At 39.1% G+C, this 25,958-nt stretch overlaps 1 long non-coding RNA gene across 1 annotated transcript in view, besides 1 other annotated feature; it reads right to left on the bottom strand.

The window, feature by feature from the left end:
- LOC102723686 (uncharacterized) overlaps positions 1–25,958 on the bottom strand; it is a 121,255-nt gene that overhangs the window by 19,836 nt on the left and 75,461 nt on the right. The gene's annotated exons all lie outside the window — the stretch shown is intronic.
- Positions 24,025–24,538: an enhancer, noted in NCBI's record as "OCT4-NANOG-H3K27ac hESC enhancer chr7:152955709-152956222 (GRCh37/hg19 assembly coordinates)". NCBI's record gives its function as "activates a minimal SCP1, AML or CMV promoter by ChIP-STARR-seq in primed H9 embryonic stem cells {active_cell/tissue: H9 hESC(primed)}" and the evidence as "EXISTENCE:reporter gene assay evidence [ECO:0000049][PMID:30033119]".

The raw sequence follows: 25,958 nt of genomic DNA, 5'->3' as shown, positions 1-25,958 counted from the left end.
TTACCAGAAAAAAAAATACTATGTGAAGTGATGGATATGTTTAATTAGCTTGATTATGGTCAACAGTTCACAATGTGTATATATATCAAATCATCACCTTGCACACTATGAATATATATAATTTTATTTGTCAATTTTACCTCATTAAAGCTGCGGGAAGAAAGGAATTGAAAAGACATAAATGGCCATATTATATATATTGGACATGATCAAAATCTCTAACATAAGTATAATCAAAGATCCAGAAAGAAAATATATCCAGGCCGGGTACGGTGGCTCACACCTGTAATCCCAGCACTTTGGGAGGCCAAGACGGGCGGATCACGAGATCAGGAGATCGAGACCATCCTGGCTAACACACAGTGAAACCCCATCTCTACTAAAAATACAAAAAAATTAGCCAGGCGTAATGGCAGGTGCCTGTAGTCCCAGCTACTTGGGAGGCTGAGGCAGGAGAATGGCGTGAACCCAGGAGGTGGAGTTTGCAGTGAGCCGAGATTGCGCCACTGCACTCCAGCCTGGGCAACAGAGCGAGACCCCGTCTCAAAAAAAAAAAAAAAAAAAAAAAAAAAAAATTTTTTTTTTTTTTTTTTTTTTTTTTTTTTTATCCAAATGGTAACTTTTTTGAAGGAGAGATTCTGTTTTGACGAAGGCATAAATACTGTTGTAGAGTGTGAATACCCTCTGACAGCCTAAAAAAGAAGAGTGAGTCAAGCATAAGACGACAGCCAAGGAGGCTCCATGTCATCAGGGAAATGGCAGCTCCCTCTTTTGAAGAGAACTGGATGAAAAATAGATGAAAAGCAGCCACCCACAAGCAGACTGGATGATACACAGCAGTCTAAGCTGCGCAATGGCCCCACACGCATACCCAGGCATGACAAATAACACTCCTCGTAATGGAAGATGACAGCTTGGAAATATCTCTCACAGACAAAGGTAAGTCCATACTGGGGAGGAGCCAGTGAGGAGTAGGAAGGACCCATTGGAGATTCAAAAACCCATTGGGATATAAGACAAGCAGGTATGCCTGTGCAGTGTGGAAACTTCACACAGTATAAACTGCCTCATGCAAACGTCGACTGAAGGCTTCCACTGAAGCCAGACATAGTGCAGTTCTGAGGACAGTGAAGATTGAAACAGTACAGGGAGAAAACTCAGGCTAGAAATGATGTAGCAATTCCCTGTACATCCCACATTATTTGGGGTGCACAGAAAGGATTCCAAGACCATCCTAGGCCAGTCAGAAGCCTCATCATGTAAAGATATAATTTTTGATGTCTTCATAATTTTCAGTTATAAGTCATGCATATTTGTAACACTGTCATTGAACCAAGACTTAAGTTGAACAAAATTTCACAGTGTAAAAACCTTTTGAAGAAATATTTCATTTTTTAATGAATGAGTTTGAGTTCAGCAATCTGAAAATAAATAGAAAATCTTGATCTGCTCCTTCAATTTGTATAATCCAGAAAAGAAGCTTAATCTTTAATATTTTAGAGAGAGTAAAAGGACAGGCTTTACTAAAACTTCTGAGAACTTGCAGGATGAATAAGGGGGCTAATTGTATTTTAACTTAGGAAAGCCAAATGCAGGAGGAGAAACTGTGCAACAACACAGAAGCCTATGATTAAGGGAACTAAAATCAGGGGGAAATCATCGTCTGGACTCATGTAGTCATCAGGACACACCTAATCAAGGATGCTTAACTACACCTCACCTTCCTCTCTATTGCTAACTTCCATCTGGAACTCTAAGGAGATTTGGAAAATAATCTCTTCACTTGCAGATGGCTAACCTAACACCACCTGAAGATAATGCAGTCTCCCGCTTGCATATAATTAAGCCTACCTACTCACCTGCTTCTCTCTTATATATGAAAAATCCTACAAACTTTTAAAGAATTCTGGCTAAGAAGTTCATCTTCTCTAAGTTTGCTTCATAAAACACTGTAATCATTCTCAGAGATTCAGAGCCTCAGACCACTTCTATTAATAGTTTCACAATTTCAAAACATAGTTTTCATTACAGGTAGACATTTTGGGGCCAATTGCAATTGAGAGCTGAGGCCAACATGCTTTCCTGTCCATGTTACAGGATTTAATACACAAATGACAATGGCCAGGATTTATGGTTTTAGAAGTTTTACCCACAACCTCTGCAGCAATTGGTCCAGAATGGTCAGGACTTGCTAGGTGACTGTTAGCTTCCCTATTTGTTCTCCTGCTTCCTACTCCAGACCAACCAGAGAAAGCCAAATATGGCGCCAAAACCAGTTACATAAGATACCATGTTTCTAAGTGAGTGGACTTTCAGCTTTCCCAGGCCAACAACCTCCAATCAGAGCATTTCTGAAGCCGTCTCTTCTTTTACCATAAATCTGTCCTGCTCCACTGCCTGCCCTTGAGTATTAGACAGGCCAAGGTGATGACAATTGACTTCCTTGCTGTACCAAGCCCTGAATAAATAGCCTCTGTTTGTTCTCATTTGGGTGGGCGGTCTTTGTTTATTTCTGCAATGTGCCAAACAATTCTAGGAAAATGCATCTTTTCTTATTCTGTGTTAAGCAATACTTAGATGTGGCAAAAATAACTTGTCTTCCAGAAGCAAGTATTTTCTGAGAAAAATAGCTAAGGCTCAGAACCAACTTAGATCACTTACTAATTGAAACAAACACCTCACTCATCGATATTCATTTCAAGAATTCCATCCTACCGTGCCCACTTATCCAAAGCTATCATAGCCTCTCCAATACCAAACAGTTGCCCTCCTTAAATCATTCAGCCCAGGCCTCAGCCTTGTAAATATACACCCAGCTTCTCTCTGCTGAGATACTATGAAGACTCTGTAAACATGGTATTCTCTCTTCCTTCAGTAAGTCTAATACATTTAGTTCTGCTTATTCAACACATTGCACGGTGGTCTTTTGCAGAAATTGACAACTGATAATCTTGCAGATTGTGCCAGGATTCATCAAGACCCTCTTGCTACTGTGGCCCAATAAACACAACTCAACTGCACAGAGCTCCTCCGAGGCCTCCTGAACTGCACACTCAGGGGCCTGAGCTGTGATCTCTTTTTGTCAAGCTCCCAAACACCAAGTTTACTTTGTTCCCTAGGGATGGGTAACCCTCTTTTGGAATCCTTAGATTACCTCGTCAAAATTTAAAACTCTTATTTTTGGCAGAGCATGTCTTGTTAATCTGTTCTTACCTCTGTCTCTCTATTTTTGTTACTTCTATTGTAAGTCTGTAAGGGGAAATTTATGGGGAAGAGAAATTTATAAGGCATGGGGTGATAAATTTACCTTTGCTATTGGCTCCAAGGCTGGTATAGAAGGTTGGCACAATCTTACAGAAAAACTTCAACAGATTACTCAGGTCACCTATATTAGTCTATATTAATAAGAAATATTGGTTTGTAGTTGTCTTTTCATGTGATATATTTGTCTGGTTTTGGAATCAGGGTAATCCTGGCCTCATAAAATAAATTGAGGAGTGTTCTCTCCTCTTCTATTTTTTAGAGAGTTTGTGAAGAATTGACATTAATTTCCTATACGTTTTGTAGAATTCTGGGACTAGGCTTTTCAAGTTTTAAATTATGAATTTAATCTTTTTTTATTATAGATCTTTACAGATTTTTTAATTCTTCTGAGTCAGTTTCTATAGTCTGAGCCTTTCTAGGATATTTTTCTACTACTGGCATACAATTGTTCATAGTATTCCTTATACTTCTCTATTTCTGTAAGGTCTATAATAACGTCCCCTCTTCATTCATGTTTATTAATTTGAGTTTTCTTCTTTCTTTGTCAGTCTGGCTAAGGATTTGTCAACTTTATTGATTTCAAAAAGCCAGGTGTGTTTTTGTTAATTTTTCTCTGTTTTCTCTTCTCCATGTTATTAATTTTCATTCTAACTGATATTTATTTCCTTCTGCTTAATTAGGTTTAGTTTGTTCTTTTATAATTGTCTTAAATTGTATATCCAAGTTATTGATTTGCGGTCTTTCTTCTAATGTAATATAGACCTCTCCCCTACAGCTATGAAAGTCTCTGTAAGTGCTGCTTTAGTTGCATGCCATAAGTTTTGTCATGCTGCGTCCCACTTACTTTCATTTATTTGAAATTATTTTATATTTTTTGTGGTAGTTATTTAGATCTGTGTTTTTAATTTCTACATTTTTAAACTTTCTGTTATTAATTTCTCATTACATTTGATTGTTGTTGGGAACATACTTTGTATGATTTCGATTCTTTTGAATTTATTGTGGCTTTCTATATGACCTAGCTTAGTATGTCACAGAGAACATTTTATGTGCACTTGAGAAGAATGTATACTCTGATATCATTGGGTTTTCCGCAGCTATCTGCTAGGCCTAGCTGGTTTATAGTTTTGTTCGAGTCTTCTATTTTCTTATTGATCTTCTGCCTAGTTGTTCTCTTCATTATTGAAACTGAGGTATTGAAGATTTCAACCATTATTGTCAAAATGTCTATTTCTTCCTTCAATTGTGAGGGGTTTTTTTTGTTTTTGGTTTGGTTTTGTTTTTTGAGATGGAGTCTCGCTCTGTCACCAGGCTGGAGTCCAGTGGTATGATCCCGGCTCACTGCAGCCTCCGCCTCCCAGGTTCAAGTGATTCTCCTGCCTCAGCCTCCCAAGTAGCTGGGACTACAGGCACCCGCCACCACACCTGGCTTATTTTTGTATTTTTAGTAGAGATGGGGTTTCATCATTTTGGCCAGGCTGATCTTGAACTCCTGACCTCATTTTTTTTTTTTTTTTTTTTTTTTTTTTATTTCATCTCACATTAGTATAGCCATTCTGCTTTCCTATCATTGCTGTTTGCATGATCTATCTTTTCTTACCCCTTAATTTTAGCCTATTTGTGTCTTTGAATTAAAAATGTCTCCTGTGCACAACATATAATTCAATTTTTTTTTTTTTTTTTTTTGAGACGGAGTCTCGCTCTGTCGCCCAGGCCAGACTGCGGACTGCAGTGGCGCAATCTCAGCTCACTGCAAGCTCCACTTCCCGGGTTCACGCCATTCTCCTGCCTCAGCCTCCCGAGTAGCTGGGACTACAGGCGCCCGCCACCGCACCCGGCTAATTTTTTGTATTTTTAGTAGAGACGGGGTTTCACCTTGTTAGCCAGGATGGTCTCGATCTCCTGACCTCATGATCCACCCGCCTCAGCCTCCCAAAGTGCTGGGATTACAGGCGTGAGCCACCGCGCCTGGCCTATAATTCAATTTTGTCTTTATAGTTGGTGTGACAGTCTCTGTCTTTTGATTGGATTGCTTAATCCACTTACACTTAATGTTATTATGGGTGTAATTGGATTTATATCCAATTAACTTTTTTTGATATGTCTCATGTCTTTTTGTTTCTATATACTTCTTTCATGTATTTCTTTTATGTAAAGTGAATATATTCTAGTGTAACATTGTAATTCCTTCAATAATTTTTAACTATACTGTTTGAATTATTTTCTTAGTGGTTACTTACTTTAGGGTTTACCATGTACATCTTAACTGGGCAGAATCTACTCCAAATTTATACTAACTTAATTCCAATGAGATACAGAAATGTCACTGCTATACAGCTCTATTTCTGTCTTCCCTTTTCTGTGCTACTATTGTTGAACCTAACATTATGCCTAACATATATTAATATATATTTTATATGTTATCAACAGATATGAATTTATATTAGATATATTGGGGGAAATATTTTATATCTCAACAATAAATATATAATATTTATTGGGATATGTTGTTATATGCCAAAAATAAATATATAATATATAAATGTATATATTATATAATATATATATTTCTCAACAAATATATAATACATAAATACATTTATGTAATATACAAACATATATTAACATACATATATAGGTATATCCCAATAATTCATTGCTATAAATATTATTTCATATAATTTTATGTATATTTAAGAAGCTGAGAGAAGAAAGCGGAACATATGTAAACAGCTTCTTGTATTAATTTTGTTTACAATCTCTGGTTTTCTTCATCTGTCCCTGAGGTTTAGAATTACCATCTGGTGTCATTTTCTTACTCTAATATAGCTTTGTTCCTACCCACTTTTGTTCTGCTACTATTGGCAAATTTATTACATTTCTATATGTTACAGGCTCAACAATACAATTACATGCACTTGTATTATATGATTGCTTTTTAAATCCAGTTAAAAGGAGGAAAGAGACATGTATTTATAGTGTCATTTATAATTACATAACTGCTTTTACCATTGGGGGTGTGTGTGCGTGTGTGTGTGTGTGTGTGTGTGTGTGTGTATGTATCCATGTGTTTGAATTACTGCCTAGGGTCACTTGCTTTTAACCTGAAAAACTCCACTTTTATTGCTTCTAAAGTAGGTCTACTAACAACAAATTCTATCCGTTTTTTAAAAATCTGGGAATGTCAATTATTTTACCTTCCTTACTGAAAGATGGTTTTGCTAAATATAGGATTCTTGGTTGGCAGATTGTTCTTTCACCACTTTCAATTTGTCGTTCCATTGTTTTCTGGCCTCCATTGTTTCTAATGATAATACAGATGTTCATCTTATTGGGGTTTCCTTGTAAGTGACAAGTCATTCTTCTTTTGTTGTTTTCAAGATTCTTTTTTTTTTTTAATTTGGCTTTGGAAAATTTGACTCTCATATGTCAAGGTGTAGATCTTTTTGAGTTTTTCCTGCTTAGAGTTTGTTGAGTTTCTTGAGGGTATAGATGCATGTTTTTCATCAAACTGGGGAATTTTTTGCCATTATTTTTCTGAATAAATTTTTGTTCCACTCTCTCTCTCTCCTCCTTCTGGCATTTTTATTATGAATATGTTGCTGCACTTGTGATATTCTACATGTCTCTGAGGCTCTGTTTGTATATTGTTGTTTTTTTTTTTCCTCTTGTCCTTCAGATTGTATCATTGCTAGCAGCCTATCTTCAACTTTGGTAATTCTTTCTTCTGTCAGTTGAAATAGATTGTAATCAATTGTTGAGCCCATTTGTGAATTCTTCATTTCAGTCATTGTACATTTCAAATACTGAATTTTTATTTGGTTTTCTTTTATAATTTCTGGCTATTGATATTCTCTATTTGATTAAGCATTGTCATCATACATTATTTCCTTCAGTTCTTTAAATATATTTGTAATGGCTGCTTTAAAATCTTTGTTAAATCTGACATCTGGTCCCTTTCACAGGCAGTTTCTGTTACCTGTGTCACCCCACCATCCCCCACCGTGTATGGGACATGTATTCCTTTTTCTCTGCATGTCTCACAGTTTTGTGGATTTTTTTAATTAAAAATGAGCATTTAAATAATATATTGCAGCAACTCAGGATTCTTGTTCCTTTATTCCTCTCCAGTGCTTGGTATTGTTGTTTGATCTTATTTATTTAGTAAGCAACTGGCTTAAATCACATAAAATTACAGCAAGGACAAATTGGCCACTGTATTCAGCCAAGATTGGCGATCATCTGTGGTGTCTGTCTCACTTATCACCACCATTAACCAGACAAATCTATGAAAAACAGGACAAGAACAAGGGTCCAAGAATCAGGGTGTCTGAGTATGTTTAAGTGCCTTTCATATGGCCATCTTCCTCAGTCGGTCTTAACTATTCTCTAGTGATTACTTACTTATTAGTGGAATGGATTGATGCTTTTCCTTACCAAAGAGCTATACCTCTGATAGTAGCAGAAGTATTGCTTAATTCTTTGTTTTCAATCTGGGGAATTCCAAACTAGTGCTAATGAAAATCCTTTAAAATGTGTGACCCTGTCACAGGAAAGGTTTTGCAAACCCTTACCACTTACTCAGAAATTTCACGGCCCATACTACCCCTAATCTTAAGAAAATATTGAAAGAACAAATAGTATTCTTCAGCTAAAATTAGCATAGTTTTCAATGACCCTTTGCTTCTATCACCTAAGGTATTATCTTAGTTTTAATAACAATGCAATCAACTTCTTCTGGGATTCACTAACTCTCCCACTATAAGTTAGTAGCAGGTCATCCCATGGCTGTAGTAATTGCATCTCTGATTCTAGATTGTGTCCTCTGGTAAGTGGAGTTGGAAAAATACTACAAGGGACTAATACAAGAGATAACAGCCTGAGCATCCACTGGCATGAGCACCGTTTGCTCAACATCCTCCTAAGCAACCTTGCATAACCTAAAACCTGGAAAAATAATTCTCCTAAACAGACTTCTGAGAAAGATGGCCCCCAAAACCTGATGGGCATGATCTTATCAGATACTGTTAAGTTGCACAGTAAGAAAATCTCAAGAGTTTTGTCCTTCAGTACACACTATCCCCACTACTCCAGCCAGGACCCCAAAGACATAAAGGCATTTTTCAGCCATTGAAAATTTGTCCTAGATGGAGACATGAAGCTAAAAATTGGTATTCTCCAAGAGTGAACAGTTATTGGAAGAAAACAGTTCCCATCAAAGGCTTTCAGAGCAAGTAGACATCTGCATGAAGTAGAGAAATTCAACCCACAACCCATAGAACATCATCTAGATAACTGGAGTCACAGATTCTCATGTTTTAATTTTCATGCTTTGTTTGCTATATTCTTAGGTAGCTTCTTTTCTCTTTACTTACTGTAAGGTTCTGGGTTATTAAGAAACATTTTTATCTATTAGTTATGGTACTCATACTGTCCTCATGATAAACATATTTTTTTTATTCTTAGACACTGCTTGGTATGAGTCCAATACCAAAATGTAACTTATTATTAATGGCTTGGCAAAATATATAAACAAATAAACCATTTTTTGCATTCATTTTTCTTTGTGTGCCACTTTGCTTTCTTTGATAACACATTCTTTTAACAAGTCAGTTGGATTCCTTGGTAATTAGACTCTAGTAGAAAGCATTTTTTAGGTTGAAAGCCACTCAACAGCAGAGCCAGCCAGAAATCAAAAATCCCCTATCGGATTGTATATACTAAGAGGGTTTTCTATCTCCACAGAAACAGTTTCAAGTGCCTTTCACAGGAAATGCCTTTTGTAACAGAACTTTTATGGTAAGAAAGTTTCTAAAAGAGTTAGAAAAACAGTTGCTATTTGGAAGTTGTCTCATTTTTACAGACATTGTAAGAAAGAAGAACTGCTTAGGCTCAATGCTAAGCTCTCTTGCTTTAAATCCACCTGATGATATCTATTCTAAACCGACTGTCACCTGACACAGAACCACATTTGATGAGTGGGATCAAAACATTACTATATTATACCACGGCAATATATCGTCAGACCTGCTTGGGCCAAAGTTTAATTAGATTGTCCCTAATAATGGATTTTGGATTTGTGATGCAACAGGCTATGACCTGAAAATTTTACAGCAATCTGTTTTCTCTGTACATTACTTGTCTTCAAATAGTCCTCACTTAAGAGGAATTCTATGAAAGGGAGCAGGTGGTGGTTCAGAACACAGCTGAGTAGATAATGTATATCCTTTGCAAGGTGGAGCATGTGCTGCCTTATGGGAAGAATATTGTACTCAAACATCTACAGATCTCTCTTGGATGTTTAATATGACAAAAAAATCTGGGAAACAAAGATAACATGAAATTAGATAATTGAGCTAATACGGTTATGTATCTCTTCAGATTGGGGGTGATACATTTTATTTTTGTTTAATATGCATGTTTTTATTTAATTTGGCTTAGCTGTGGACTATAAACTTGGACCATAATTCTTCTCATAGTATTTTATGTGTTGTACTGCTCAGTTGTGTCATCCGCAGTGTTTAGTGCTGCTATTCAGCCCCTGTTCCATCAAAGGACCCAACAAATAATCTTTCAACAAAAAGCACAACAAACTCTGACACGTATAAAAGTTGGAATAACAAACATCAGAAACTCCACATGTGACCAAAGATGGTAAACAGTGGTGAAGATCAGAATTGATCATGTCCCCAGAAGGCAATGGTCTATCCTTTAAATGTGATTGAAGAATTATCAAGGGAAGTTGGCAATAACTGAAACCAACATGCTTTCCTATTCTTGTGTTAATTCCAAAATCAAACGTATCTTACTTTCCATGGCCTCAAAACTCTGGAACAAACATCTTTTCCTGGTTTTTGCTAAATAATTTATTGGGGGCAAGCAAAAATATCTCAGATACTTGCTCCAAGGAATCGTTGCTCCAGAAAGCTAACACCATAAACCAACAAAAGAAAAAAAAAAAATCTCTACTTCTGAAGACTCACAACTGACTCATTAATACCCTCTTCAAGATCTTCCTCTCTCTGTGCCCACCAATTAAAACTACTATAATATAAACTTTTCCCAAAGCCAGTTATCATCCTGCATAGTAGACCCACCTTGAAGTCATCTAGCCGAGGTGACTAGAAAGGTACTAAAATTTCATAAATAGCCTCTCTTGACTTTTTCCTTCTGAGACACTACTAATATTCTGTCATGGCGGTGCTTTTCCTTACTTCCATAAATCTAATAAACTTAGCTTTTCTTGCTCAACATGTTTTACTGATGGTCTTTTCAGGGATTTGACAGTGGATAAGATCATTCATCCCTTTAACATATGGCATCTAAAATCATAGCTACCATAGATGTGTGATTCCCATTCTTGAAACCCTCTCTCAAAGCATGAATTCTCTCTCTGCAGGTCAAATAATACTCTATTCTTTTATCAATAGGAATTTGGATTGTTTCCAGTTTTTTCATATTATAAGTAGAGTGCTATAAATATTATTGTACATCTCTCCTGGTGCACATGTCAAATAATTTTTCTTGTATATATACCTAGGAGTGGGATACCTCTTGATCTCAAGATATGCAAATGTTCAACTTACACGAAAACATGAATTTTTTTTCATTTTTTTTAAATTATACTTTAAGTTTTAGGGTACATGTGCACAAAGTGCAGGTTTGTTCCATATGTATACATGTGCCATGTTGGTGTGCTGCACCCATTAACTCGTCATTTACATTAGGTATATCTCCTAATGCTATTCCTCCCCCCTCCCCCAACCCCACAACAGGCCCCGGTGTGTGATGTTCCCCTTCCTGTGTCCATGTGTTCTCATTGTTCAATTCCCACCTATGAGTAAGAACATGCGGTGTTTGGCTTTTTGTCCTTGTGATAGTTTGCTGAGAATGATGGTTTCCAGCTTCATCCATGTCCCTACAAAGGACATGAACTCATCCTTTTTTATGGCTGCATAGTATTCCATGGTGTATATGTGCCACATTTTCTTAATCCAGTCTATCATTGTTGGACATTTGGGTTGGTTCCAAGTCTTCGCTATTGTGAATAGTGCCGCTATAAACATACATGTGCCTGTGTCTTTATAGCAGCATGATTTATAATCCTTTGAGTATATACCCAGTAATGGGATGGCTGGGTCAAATGGTATTTCTAGTTCTAGATCCTTGAGGAATCACCACACTGTCTTCCACAATGGTTGAATTAGTTGACAGTCCCACCAACAGTGTAAAAGTGTTCCTATTTCTCCACATCCTCTCCAGCACCTGTTGTTTCTGACTTTTTAATGATCGCCATTCTAACTGGTGTGAGATGGTATCTCATTGTGGTTTTGATTTGCATTTCTCTGATGGCCAGTGATGATGAACATATTTTCATGTGTCTTTTGGCTGCATAAAAGTCTTCTTTTGAGAAGTGTCTGTTCATATCCTTCGCCCACTTTTTGATAGGGTTGTTTGTTTTTTCTTGTAAATTTGTTTGAGTTCATTGTAGATTCTGGATATTAGCCCTTTGTCAGATGAGTAGATTGCAAAAATTTTCTCCCATTCTGTAGGTTCCCATCCCATCTTATGGGAGTTTCTTTTGCTGTGCAGAAGCTCTTTAGTTTAATTAGATCCCATTTGTCAATTTTGGCTTTTGTTGCCATTGCTTTTTATGTTTTAGACATGATGTCCTTGCCCATGCCTATGTCCTGAATGGTATTGCCTAGGTTTTCTTCTAGGGTTTTTATGGTTTTCAGTCTAACATTTCAGTCTTTAATCCATCTTGAATTAATTTTTGTATAAGGTACAAGGAAGGGATCCAGTTTCAGCTTTCTACATATGGCTAGCCAGTTTTCCCAGCACCATTTATTAAATAGGGAATCCTTTCCCCATTTCTTGTTTTTGTCAGGTTTGTCAAAGATCAGATGGTTGTAGATATGTGGCATTATTTCTGAGGGCTCTGTTCTGTTCCATTGGTTTATATCTCTGTTTTGGTACCAGTACCATGCTGTTTTGGTTACTGTAGCCTTGTAGTATAGTTTGAAGTCAGGTAGCGTGATGCCTCCAGCTTTGTTCTTTTGGCTTAGGATTGACTTGGCAATGTGGGCTCTTTTTTGGTTCCATATGAACTTTCAAGTAGTTTTTTCCAATTCTTTGAAGAAAGTCATTGGTAGCTTGATGGGGATGGCATTGAATCTATAAATTACCTTGGGCAGTATGGCCATTTTCACGATATTGATTCTTCCTACCCATGAGCATGGAATGTTCTTCCATTTCTTTGTATCCTCTTTTATTTCATTGAGCAGTGGTTTGTAGTTCTCCTTGAAGAGGTCCTTCACATCCCTTGTAAGTTGGATTCCTAGGTATTTTATTCTCTTTGAAGCAATGGTGACTGGGAGTTCACTCATGATTTGGCTCTCTGTTTGTCTGTTATTGGTGTATAAGAATGCTTGTGATATTTGCACATTGATTTTGTATCCTGAGACTTTGCTGAAGTTGCCTGTCAGCTTAAGGAGATTTTGGGCTGAGACAATGGGGTTTTCTAGATAGACAATCGTGTCATCTGCAAACAAGGACAATTTGACTTCCTCTTTTCCTAATTGAATACCCTTTATTTCCTTCTCCTGCCTGATCACCCTGGCCAGAACTTCCAACACTGTGTGGAATAGGAGTGGTGAGAGAGGGCATCCCTGTCTTGTGCCAGTTTTCAAAGGGAATGCTTCCAGTTTTTGCCCATTCAGTATGATATTGGCTGTGGGTTTGTCATAGATAGCCAAACTATCATCAGAGAATACTATAAACACCTCTACACAAATAAACTAGAAAATCTAGAAGAAATGGATAAATTCTTCAACACATACACCCTCCCAAGACTAAAGCAGGAAGAAGTTGAATCTCTGAATAGACCAATGACAGGCTCTGAAATTGAGGCAATAATTAATACCTTACCAACCAAAAAAAGTCCAGGACCAGATGGATTCACAGCTGAATTCTACCAGAGGTACAAGGAGGAGCTGGTACCATTCCTTCTGAAACTATTCCAACCAATAGAGAAAGAGGGAATCCTCCCTAATTCATTTTATGAGGCCAGCATCATCCTGATACCCAAGCCTGGCAGAGACACAACAAAAAAAGAGAATTTTAGACCAATATCCCTGATGAACATTGATGCAAAAATCCTCAATAAAATACTGGCAAACTGAATCCAGCAGCACATCAAAAAGCTTATCCACCATGATCAAGTGGGCTTCATCCCTGGGATGCAAGGCTGGTTCCACATACACAAATCAATAAACATAATCCAGCATATAAACAGAACCAATGACAAAAACCATATGATTATCTCAATAGATGCAGAAAAGGCCTTTGACAAAATTCAACAACCCTTCATGCTTAAAAGTCTCAATAAATTAGGTATCGATGGAACGTAACATGAATCTTTTCTAAAAAAAAAATTATCCCAGTTAATGTTCCCATCAGCAATGAGTACAAGTTCTTCCTGTGATCATCCTTTCCACCATTTAATATTATCAAGTTCTTTAATTCTTCCAATAATCAATGATGAAATGCAATATATAATCATATATTTATTGTCCATTTGATTTTTCAATCTGTAGTAAAATGTCCACTTACATCTTATGCCCATTTTTATATTTTTATCTTTTTCTTGTTTTGTAGACATTTTAATATATATTCTAACAATACTTTATTAGTTATGTGTGTTCTGTTTATCTTCTCTCAGTTTTTGAATTTGTATTTTTATGATGTCTTTACATGAATAAAAATTCTTTTTAAATTATTTTTATTGTATAAATTTAAAATATAGAACATAATGTTTTGATATGCATATACATAGGGAAATGATTACTACTGTCAAACAAATGATCATATTCATCATCTTTTATAGTTATCTTTTTGTGGATATAAACACTATATGTTAAAATAATTAAATGTACTATTATTTTATTTTATGGTGAACACTTTTTTCTTTGTTTTAAAAAAAAATCCTTCCTCAAGGATATGTCTTCCTCTTTCAAAAAGACACTACATACTTTCTTTTTGAAATTTTTAAATAGTGCTACAGTTAGTCCTTAATTCATTTATATTTGATGGGTGGAGGAGGCAAAGGGTCAGACAGGAAGCAGGAACTCCAGTGTCTGCTTGGAGCCCACAGGGAAGTCTCACTATTGTCACTTTCAGAGGAAGAGTGTAGGTAGAACTTGCTTTAGGCCAACACAGACCACAGTGGGGATCCTGACAAGAGTACACAGTCTCCTTTAGGACCTTCCTAGGTATAAGTTGATTGTGCAATTCCACTTTAATCGAACATGGCATAATTTGCAGTGTATGGAAAAAAAACCCATCGGCCAAATCTTCTCGTTTCTGATCTACACCTGGAATTTGAAATTCCTTTGTAACTAATGTATGAGTTGTAAGAGAATCAAATTGTCAAATGCCCATGCTACAGCTTTACATTCAGGACAGCACAAACACACAAAAGAAATCCAAGACAAAAGAAATGCTAAAAATATTGCATTGCAAATAATGGTAAGATGTAAAACCAAGTGCAAAAGAAGACCAGAAGATTTCATATAACATGTATTAATTTGTCCAATATTTATTGTGCATATACCAGCAACCAAGAACTATGCCAAAGGGCAGGGAAGATATCACTGTCCATAGAATCCTTTCCATAAATGCATAAATCAGGATTGTGGGAAATTGTAAGACGCAAGAATACAAAACAATTGTATTTAACATATCCAGTAACTTCAGACCTATGTCCCTTAAACTTCATATCAGGTATAGCTTACCAGGCTGCCACTAACATTTCCAGGACCCAGGAATAAGTAAAAATGGAGACCCATATATCACATGCCCCAAGGTAATGTATTTACAAATAAATTTGGTTGATTTATATTTTCATCTCATTGGCAAACCGAAATTTCATTTTATTGGCAACTTCAAATTTCATTTCATCATTTTCATTGGAAAACATATCTCCTTAATGGCCTAGAACTCCAGGTTTAAATTTAGAGTTATCAAAATCATTAAAATTCTGTGCTGGCATTAAAATTCTCCTCACAAGGAGAGTCTCAAGCTCATCTGTGTAGCAGTCGCAAGCTGCATGTCCCAGCTCAGTCCATACTCCTTCCACAACCCCATAGCATACAGCACCTGCCTGGCCACCACTTATGTCTAGGGCTGTTCACTCCAGAGGCATCATCTGTCTTCAAGAGAATCACCTGGAAAGGAGACCCTTGCAGGTGCTGAACCCTGCCTTGGGGCAGGTGTGCAGAGAATGCCAAGGCCCTGGGTGCCTGGAACATGGTATGAAAATAGGCAGATGGGGTACAGGCTCTGAGTGGACACATAACCTGGGCCCAGGGACCCCTCACCTCCATGGACAGAGCAACTGGAGGACCAGAGCCAAGTGCTCCCAGACATGGGGACCAGGGCAGAGGACCCTCTTGTCTCAGGGTAGGACTGCAGCTCACCCCAATTGTTTTGTTGTGGAAGGTTTTTTTAAATGGCGAAAATCAGAGAACAAAACCTGAAAGAAAGTTGAAATAGTGGCCTGCTGTTAAAAAAAAAAACCATTTTCAAACAAATAAAATAAATGACAAGTGTTGGTGAAGATGTGGAGAAATTCGAACCCCCTGCATGCTGATGGTGGGAATGTAGAATGATGCAGCTGCTACAGAAAATAGTATTAGGATTCCTCAAAAAAATTAACATTAGAACTACTATATAATCCAGCAATCCTTCTCTTGGGTGTTTATCCAAAAGAATAGAGATCAGTATTTCAAAGAGATATTTGCCCTCCTATGTTCACTGCAGCTTATTCACAGCAGCCAACGTATGGAAACAACTTAAAAGTCCATCAATGGATGAGTGGATACAGAAAATATTGTATATAGATACACTGGAATAGAATTCAGCCTTAAAAAATGTCCTGCCTTATGCAACAACATGGATGAAACTTGAAGGTATTATGCTGAGTGAAATAAACCAGTAACAAGTAGGACAAATACTTCATGACTCCACTTATATGAAGTATCTAAAATAGTCAAACTTAGAGAAGCAGGGAATACAATGGTGGTGCCAGGGACTAGGGGGAAGGGGAAACAGGGTTCAATGGGCAAAAAGGCTCACTTACACAAGATACATAAGTTCTAGAGATCTGTTGTACAACATTGTACAGTCAAAAATACCACATTCTGCAGTATTATGAAGTGTTCTTACCATGATAATTTTAAAAATCTGCGTGTGTATGCATAAAGCAGGGGAGATAATATGTTAAATTGCCTATTAAGTAGCAATGCATCAGTAACAAGACATAAAAAGACAAAAAGTAAGGATCAACTTGCCATGTCAATGGTTTTATGGCCCTAAATTTCACTGAGGTATCCTGGTGGGAGGTTAAGATTTCTTTTCATTTTCAGGCCAGAAAGGGACCAAAGCTCAGCTCTGCCCTTGCATGAAAATTTTATTTTAGTTTCTATTTGGTACACTTATTCAATTATCTTCAAATCTTTAGTTAATTTTTGTTAACATTTATAACTAAGATTCAACTTTGCTGTAGGAAATTAAAGGAGAACCTACGAGTGATACAACAGAGCCACAAGGTAGCAAGGTGCCCCTCCCTGATACCAGAAGACAATAATAATTATAGTCACTAGCAGAGGACAGCTGCATGAACTGCAAGATCATCAGTGGGAGAGGCAGCCTAGGGATAAACGACCAAACAAGGAGCAGAAAATCCCAAGATGCTGGTTTGAATACATGTGAGACAGGCCCACAGGGAACTTTCCTAAAGATCTGAGAGATGTAGTAATGGGCATCTTTCTGGAAACTGGAGTGGGAGCTCCATATAATTAGCATACCAAAAAACCAACCTCATCAAAGATCAGAAAAACATATAGGCTATCAAATTTTAACCTATTAGGTTGTTAAGGAGTTGAATGATAACATCCAGAATATGAAGAGAGAAGTGATTTGATATAATTACTGGTGGAAATATAAACTGAAATAATGTTTTTAAAGGGAATTGGCAGTAATATCAGAAACTAAAAATCAAAGACTTTTAATCCAAAATTCAGCTTCCTGAGGTATGTAATGATATGTAGACAAAGATGGTCAACAAAGTACTGCTTTCTGATAAGAAAAGTTAAAGAACAAAGTAAAAGTTCATAAACAAGAGAATCATCACAGAAATTAGAGAAAATCCATGCAAATTGATGTAGTTTGGCCATGTCCCCACCCAAATCTTATCTTGAGTTGCAGCTCCCATAATTCCCATGTGTGGTGGGAGGAACCCAGTGGAAGGTAATTGAATCATGGAGGCAGGTGTTTTCCATGCTGTTGTTGTGATTGTGAATAAGTCTCACAAGATCTGATGGTTTTATAAAGGGGAGTTCCCCTGCACACTCTCTCTTGCCTGCCACCATGTAAGATGTGCCTTTGCTCCTTCTTTGCCTTCAGCAATGATATTGAGGCCTCCCCAGCCATGTGGAACTTTGAGTCAGTTAAACCTCTTTCCTTTATAAATTACCCCATCTCAGGTATGTCTTTATTAGCAGCATGAGAACAGACTAATATAGTAAATGGGTACCAGCAGAGTGGTGTGCTGCTGAAAAGATACCCAAAAATGTGGAAGTGACTTTGGAACTGGGTAACAGGTAGAGGTTGGAACAATTTGGAGGGCTCTGAAGAAAACAGAAAAATGTGGGAATGTTTGGAACTTCCTAGAGACTTGGAGGGCTCAGAAGACAGAAAGATATGGGAAAGTTTGGAACTCCCTAGAGACTCATTGAATAGCTTTGACCAAAATGCTGATAGTGATATGGACAATGAACTCCAGGCTGAGGTAGTCACAGATGGAAATTAGGAACTTGTTGAGAACTGGAGCAAAGGTGACTCCTGCTGTGCTTTAGCAAAGAGACTGGTGGCTTTTTGCCCCTGTCATAGAGGTATGTGGAACTTTGAACTTGACTGAGATGCTTTGGGGTATCTGGAAGAAGAAATATCTAAGTGGCAAAGCATTCAAGAGGAAGCAGAGCATAAAAGTTTAGAAAATCTGCAGCCGACGATGTGATAGAAAAAAACCTATTTTCTGGGAAGAAATTCAAGCCAGTTGCAGTAATCTGCATAAGTAACAAGAAGCCCAATGTTAATCACCAAGACAATGGGGAAAATGTCCCCAGGGCATGTCAGAGGCATGCTTCAAGGCAGCTCCTCCCATCACACGCCTGGAGGCCTAGGAGGAAAGAATGGCTTCTTGGGCCAGGTCCAGGATCCCCCTGCTATGTGCAGCCTAGGGACTTGGTGCCCTGCATTCCAGCTGCTCCGGTCATGGATAAAAGGGCCCAAGGTACAGCTCAGGCTGTGGCTTCAGAGGGCGTGAGCCCCAAGCCTTAGCAGCTTCCACATCGTGTTGAGCATGTGGGTGCACAGAAGTCAAGAATTGAGGTTTGGGAACCCCTTCCTAAATTTCAGAGGATGTATGGCAACACCTGGATGTCCAGGCATAAGTTTGCAGCTGTGGTAGGCCCACATGGAGAATCTCTGCTAGGGCAGTGCAGAAGGAAAATGTGGGGTTGGAGGCCCTGCCAGAATCCTCACTGGGACATTGCCTAGTGCAGGCATGAGAAGACGACCACCATCCTCTAGACCCCAGAATGGTAGATCCACCAACAGCTTACACTGTGTGCCTGGAAAAGCCACAGACACTCAACGCCAGCCCATGAAAGCAGCAAGGAGGGAGGCTGTACCCTGCAAAGCCACAGGGGTAGAGCTGCCAAAGACCATGCAAACCCACCTCTTGCATCAGCATGACTTGGATGTGACACATGAAAAAAAAAGGAGATCATTTTTGAGCTTTAAGATCTGACTGCCCCACCGGATTTTGGATTTGCATGGGGCCTGTAGTCCTCTCATTTTGGCCAATTTCTCCCATTTGGAACAGGTGTATTTACCCAATGCCTGTACCCCCATTGTATCTAGGAATTAACTAACTTGCTTTTGATTTTACAGGGTCATAGGCAGAAGGGACTTGCCTTGTCTCAGATAAGACTTTGGACTGTGGACTTTTGAGTTAATGCTGAAATAAGTTAAGACTTTGGGGGACTGTTGAGAAGGCATGATTGATTTTAAAATGAGAAGACATGGCATTTGGGAGGGGCCAGAGGTGGGATGATATGGTTTGGCTGTCTCCCCACCCAAATCTTATCTTGAATGCTAGCTCCCATAATTCCCATGTGTGGTGGGAGGGACCCAGTGGGAGGTAATTGAATCATGGAAGTGGGTCATTCCTGTGCTGTTCTTATGATAGTGAATAAGTCTCATGAGATACGATGGTTTTATAAAGGGAAGTTCCCTTGCACACACTCTCTCTTGCCTGCTGCTAAGTAAGATGTGACTTTGCTTCTCATTCACCTTCTGCCATGATTGTGAGGCCTCCCTAGCCATGTGGAACTGTGAGTCCATTAAACCTCTTTCCTTTATAAGTTACTCAGTCTCGGGTACATCTTTATTGGCAATGTGAGAACAGACTAATTCACAAGTACAATACACAATTGCCATTTCAAAAAAATAGGCTAACTTTACATGTACAGGTGATCCCTAAACAATGCAGGGGTTAAGGGCCCCAACTTGTATGCAGTCCATAATCCAAGTATAACTTTTGACTCTTCCAAAACTCAACTAATAGCCTACTGTTGACCAGAAGCCTTACTAATAACAAACAGTTAACACATATTTTGTATCTTCTATGTATTATGTACTATATTTTTACAATAAAGTAAGCTGGAGTAAAGAAATGTTACTAAAAAATCATGAGGAAGAGAAAATATATTTACTATTCCTTAATTAGAAGTGAATTATCATGGTCTTCATCCTTGCCCTCTTCACACTGAGTAGGCTGTGGAGGAGGAGAAAGAAAAGGAGGAGTTGGTCATGCTGTCTCACAGGTGGCAGAGGCAGAAGAGGTGGAGGTGGAAGGAGAGGCAGGCACAATTGGTGCAACTTTTATAAAAAAAAAATCTATGTATCAGTGAAGCTACACAGTTCAAACTCATGTTGTTCAAGGCTCAATTGTATTGATTTTCATTGATGTCACTTTAGCCTGGATGGGAAAGGAGACGTGAGATGGTGTTGTATAAATGAACCAAGGGCAGCAAGAGTGAGGGAAAGAAGCTGTGAAATAGTGTTGTATAAATGAGCCAAGGACTGCCCCTGCAAATTGGCCTCTAGGTTGTTTACTTCTTCACAGAAGGCTGAGACCTATTTGTTCAAAATCCTCCTAGCACCAAACTCAAAATGTTCCATATTAACTGTTTTAGACACAGATCAAATATGCATATTTTTAGCCATTTAGAGCCTACCTCCATTGTATGCCCACAAAACTGTGCCCAACATGTGCTAACCATATATAAGATAAACTCAGGGCTATAAAGATGCCAACTACTGCTGCCCTTTGGAGTTCTCTGACCCAGACTCCCCACCAGGCTGCTGAGCAACTTCACCCACTCATCTGAACCCCCCTCTAGTCCCCTCACCCCCTGGGATTCCCTTCCAGCCTTTCCTTCTGAGTAGTGGCTGCATCCTGTAGCTCTGGAAGGTCTCCTGCTATAGAGGACTTCCTTCCTTTTCATGTGAACCCATGAAAGCATCACTTAAATAAAGTTGCATGTGTCACCTTGTGATCACACTTTATTTTATGTTAGGCCCCCAAATACCTTGGACCCTCTACAGGTAACAGAGGATGGGAAACTATGCCAGGTGAGACATTACTTCACTGGGCATTGTTTTATAACGAGTGATGGGATGACACAGCAGGTCACTTGCCATGACGGTTCGCCCAGCCGCAGGTCATGCTGCTGGGACAAGCAGGCCACAGACACCACGTCTTAGAGCAGGAAAGGAGGAAGGAGAAGTCTGTCCTCTTTGTTTCCTTCCATCCTCTGTTTCCAATTGGTGGGATCTGATCTACTGGGGAGTTAATACCCCTGCGTACACTTGTTCATTATCTGATCCCTTCTGCATACATTCAAGATACTAGAAATGACAGGAAGAGCCAGAAATTCTGGGCATGCAGAATTTGGCCCAGCTCCCTGGCAGCTCCCATGGGGAGGGTAACTGGTCAGCCCACACAGCAGAACCATGTGGGTCCAAGCAATTGTGGGCAGTGAAGTGTGGTAAGCATTTGTGGATTCAGGAAGCAAACAAGGAAATCTAAGAAGATCCAGCAAATGTATCAGGTACATTTTTATGATATACTGTTACAGCAAATTGCCAGAAAAAAACAAATTGCATAATACATATATATATAGAAAATAATCATCTTGATTTTGGTATCTATCTTTTCACTCATGCTTTTTCAAAGCACATGAAACCTGTTTACAGTGATTTTCCCTGGAAACTAGGGGTTTTCCTTTGTCACTTACTTTATTAGAGAAAGTAATGTATCTTTACCAAATTTTAAAAATGTGAAGGTGTATAAAGTAAAAAGTGACTGTGATCAGTTTTTAGGTGCTGGATATTGAGTTCTATCAAATATGGGGTATGCCTTGATTTTTTGGAAGAACTCCCCTTGACCTCCCAGAATGGTCTATTCTACTCTGAAAGACAGAAATTAAAGGACATGATAGTACAATTACTCCTTATAGCCTACTGTAGGAACAGCATTCACTGCCTATAATTTTGCAATGCCCCCCCTCAAGTAAGTCTCTGGAAAACTGTAGGGCTTCACCCCTTAAAATCAATGATGTCACAAACTCCCCTAAACTAGCACAATATTCAGTTGCAATCCCTCAGCAGCAGAATGGGCCAGGCCAGGACAATGGGCAGAAAAATCTCTCAAATAAAGCATATACAACTCATTAAGAAAGGCTAATAGGAGTTTTCTAGACAGTCAACAGGACCAAGTACAGATGTTTGAGTGGTTTATTTTTCTGTTTGGTTTCCAGAAATATAGCTGTAAAACACTCCTTAACTCAGAAATAAATCTTGTAGGAAAAAACCCTGGAGACAGAGAAAGCAATGAAAAACTCATACAGGCGCAAGCTACTGGCATCTTGGTTTCTAAAAGAGCAAAGGAATCCAGGCTCCCTGATAGGTCATGTTGATGAACGTTGGCCAGTGAAACACTGGAGACATGGACTTGGGGTGGAGCAAGGAGGACAAGAAGAATGCGTCAATCCAAAGGGAACACCTCAACCAAACTGGGATTCTGAGCAATTTCTCTGACCTGTGTGCCTTGGGGACCCAACCTACTAGGCAGCCGGTAAACTTGGCCATAAACCACATTCCTTGCTCCTTCCCCAACAATTTACACATGAAAAAACTAGGTTCAAACATATGAAGTTTTCACCCAAGACTATCCAACTGCTACATGGAAGATGAGTATGAAGGAAGACTCAACTCTGAATGCAGGTGCTATGGTCTGAATGTGTCCCCCATAAGTTCATCTGTTGGAAACTTTATCTCCAATGCAGTAGTGTTGAGAGGTGGGACTTTTAGGAAATAACTGAGTCAAGAGGTCTCTGCCATGAATGGATTAATTCATTCATGGATTAATGGATTAATGGATTAATGAGTTATCATGGTGGGGGTTACTTATCATAAGAGCTAGTCTACTATAAAATCTAGTTTGGCTGTCTCTCATGAGCACGCTAACCATGTGATGCCCTGTCCCGCCTTGGGACTCCACCAGCAAGACGGCCCTCACCAGATGCAGCCCCTCAACCTTAAACTTCCCAGCCTCCAGCAATGTAGGAAGTAATGTAAATATATTTTCTATATAAATTACCCAGTCTCAGATACTCAGTAATAACAACAGAAAATGGACTAGGACAACAGGGTTATGCTCTTGCTACTAGCAATTACTAAATAACCAACACCAGTGCAAGTAGGTGGGTGCTCAGAGGTATAGCAAATCACTCCAGACTGGAGCAGACACAATGGCTCATAGAGAAAAGGAGGTGCAACCTAGATATGAAAAGAAGTGGCTGGGTACAGTGGCTCATGCCTGTGATCCCAGCACTTTGGGAGGCCAAGGCAGGCAGATCATGAGGTCAGGAGATCAAGACCATCCTGGCAAATATGATGAAACCCCATCTCTACTAAAATACAAAAAATTAGCCAGGTGTGGTGGCACACGCTTGTCATCCCAGCTACTCAGGAGGCTGAGGCAGGAGAATCACTTTAACCCAGGAGGCGGAGGTTGTAGTGAGCCGAGATCGCATCACTGCACTCCAGTCTGGCAACAGAGCAAGACTCCGTCTCAAAAAAACAAAAAAAGAGGTGAAAGAGGGCACTGCAGATGAAGCAGTGTGCATACATTTTCTAGAAGCAAGTGTACATATGCAGGAGACACAAGGTTAGTTTAGATACACCATCATATTTGCATAGAGGAATAGCAGAGGATAAAGCTGGAAAGACACATGGGTCAGAATTTGGCAAACATAGAATGCCAGCTTGAATTTTGTATTTTGAACAAAGTTTCAATGCACATGTTAGTCATTTTTTTCTTATAGCACATTGTATGGAAAAACTCTGAGAGTAGCTGTACGGTAGATGTGCCTCTCAGGTTTTCTCGCTTTAATCACCTTTTATGCCTCTTTGATTCCATCTCAAGTCTCCAGGATCCTGGATGGCTGGCCTTCTAACATCCTCATGATCATAGAGGCTTCATTCAATGCCCTCAGATTGCGACGTGCAGTATTGTAAGCCAGTCACCAAAGTACCTACTCCAAGAGTGTCCTAAGTTTGTAGAAGTATGAGGGTCACTGCATGGGCTACCATTGTGTGAAAAAGAAATCAGAAGTCCACACTTAGTCATTGTTATGCATATCAGGGAAGAGAGGAAAGAAAGCCATTCTGACTGAGAGATGTTTAGGTATTCATCACTTAAGGCATGAATGTTTTGGAGACAGTGCTGTAAGAACATTTTCAGACAGAGTTCTGTTTTGATGTTTTCAAAGCTTTCCTTGAAGCCAGTCAAGACACAGAGCTATTTGCATATGAATGTAAAACAACAATGTGCCCTCACACTTCCTGAATACACAATTGCTGGAAAACGACCTTAACTCCCTCCCTTGTTCTCCTGCTAGTTCTCTCCTTCTGCTAAGGTCGCTTATTGTACGTGCTCTGAAGGAGGAGACGCGCGTGCTCTTTTGCCACAAGTAAAGATAATGAACAATTAAATCACAGGAAACACCCATGCCCTGAAAACTGGGCCAGAGAAAAGTTTTGATTTTTTTAAAAAAGAAAAGTTTTGGATGGGCGTGGTGGCTCATGCCTGTAATCCCAGCACTTTAGGAAGCTGAGGCAGGTGGATCACCTGAGGTCAGGAGTTCGAGACCAGCCTGACCAACATGGAGAAACCCTGTCTCTACTAAAAATACAAAATTAGCCAGGCGTGGTGGCACATGCCTGTAATTCCAGCTACTCAGGAGGCTGAGGCAAGAGAATCGCTTGAACCCGGGAGGCAGAGGTTGCGGTAAGCCAAGATCATGCCATTGTACTCCAGCCTGGGCAACAAGAGCAAAAAACTCCATCTCAAACAAAACAAAACAAAACAAAAACAGTTTTATTGAAATACAATTTATACAATTTGATGGTTTGATATACATATACATTGGGAAATGATTATTACAGTCAAGCAAATCAGCATATCCATCACCTCACATAGTTAACCGATTTTTATTTAAAGTTTTGATCTTCTGCAAACTCAGAGCCATATATCCTCAGCAGAAGGTCTGGGAAAGAGATACAAAAAACACCTTCTGTCAAAATCAAGAATTGAACTCAGAGTCAAAGACAGAGTGAAGAGTCATGTCCAGCCTTGCACTTGTGGATAGGACCAGGAACAGAAGACAAGGATAATTAACTAGAATCCGTAGTCCAGCTTGGAACATTTGAGCCTACAATGGTTTCCCACTTCCTATCAGAAAGGATGACCAAATAATTTGTTGGAGATACTTCTGCAGGCCAAAGGGCATGCTGGTGATACTAATTACCGCAGAACAAAACCTGTCCAGGACAAATCTGGACACATGTTGCCCTACTGTTTGACCATATCCAAATCACTTTTCTTGTCATTCAGGATCTGACACCAACTCACCTCACATGCTGTGTCCTCAATATGATCACTTCTCAGGCTGGTCATCTACTAGTCCTGAGAGCTACCTACACCTGGTTTTCCCAGCCTGCCAAACACATGCACACATACTCACACATACGCACGGTACACATGCAGGGGCACACATGCACACTCACACATAATGTGCACACATGCACACACAAGCATGGGTGCAAGGCACATCCTTCTGACTCCAGAGTCTTCCATTCTTCCTCTGGAGTTCTGTGTTCTCCCATCTGACCCAATCCAAATTTCCCTCACTCCTCACAGTAGATCAAGTCAATCCCACCCCCATTCCCTTTATCCATCTTCATTTGATTTCACTCAGACAGCTCTATGAGATTTCAACAAATGTTACAGAATTATAGGCCCTTGGTCTTCAACATCCAAACAAATTAATAGAGTGGAAAGAAAGCAAGCAAGGGAGAAAACCATCAGGTGCTGGTAACAGTGACTGCGTCCTGCTCTGCTGCTTGTCAAAACCATTTGGATTCTCCCGAATGCCACTATGACTCTCAGAAAACCTTCCCTTCATTGCAGCTGCATATAGCTGAGTGAGAACATACCA

The sequence above is a fragment of the Homo sapiens genome, chromosome 7 (assembly GCF_000001405.40).
Source record: "Homo sapiens chromosome 7, GRCh38.p14 Primary Assembly".
In the NCBI taxonomy this organism is placed as follows: Eukaryota; Metazoa; Chordata; class Mammalia; order Primates; family Hominidae; genus Homo; species Homo sapiens.
This window is presented reverse-complemented; position numbering and strand designations above follow the sequence as displayed.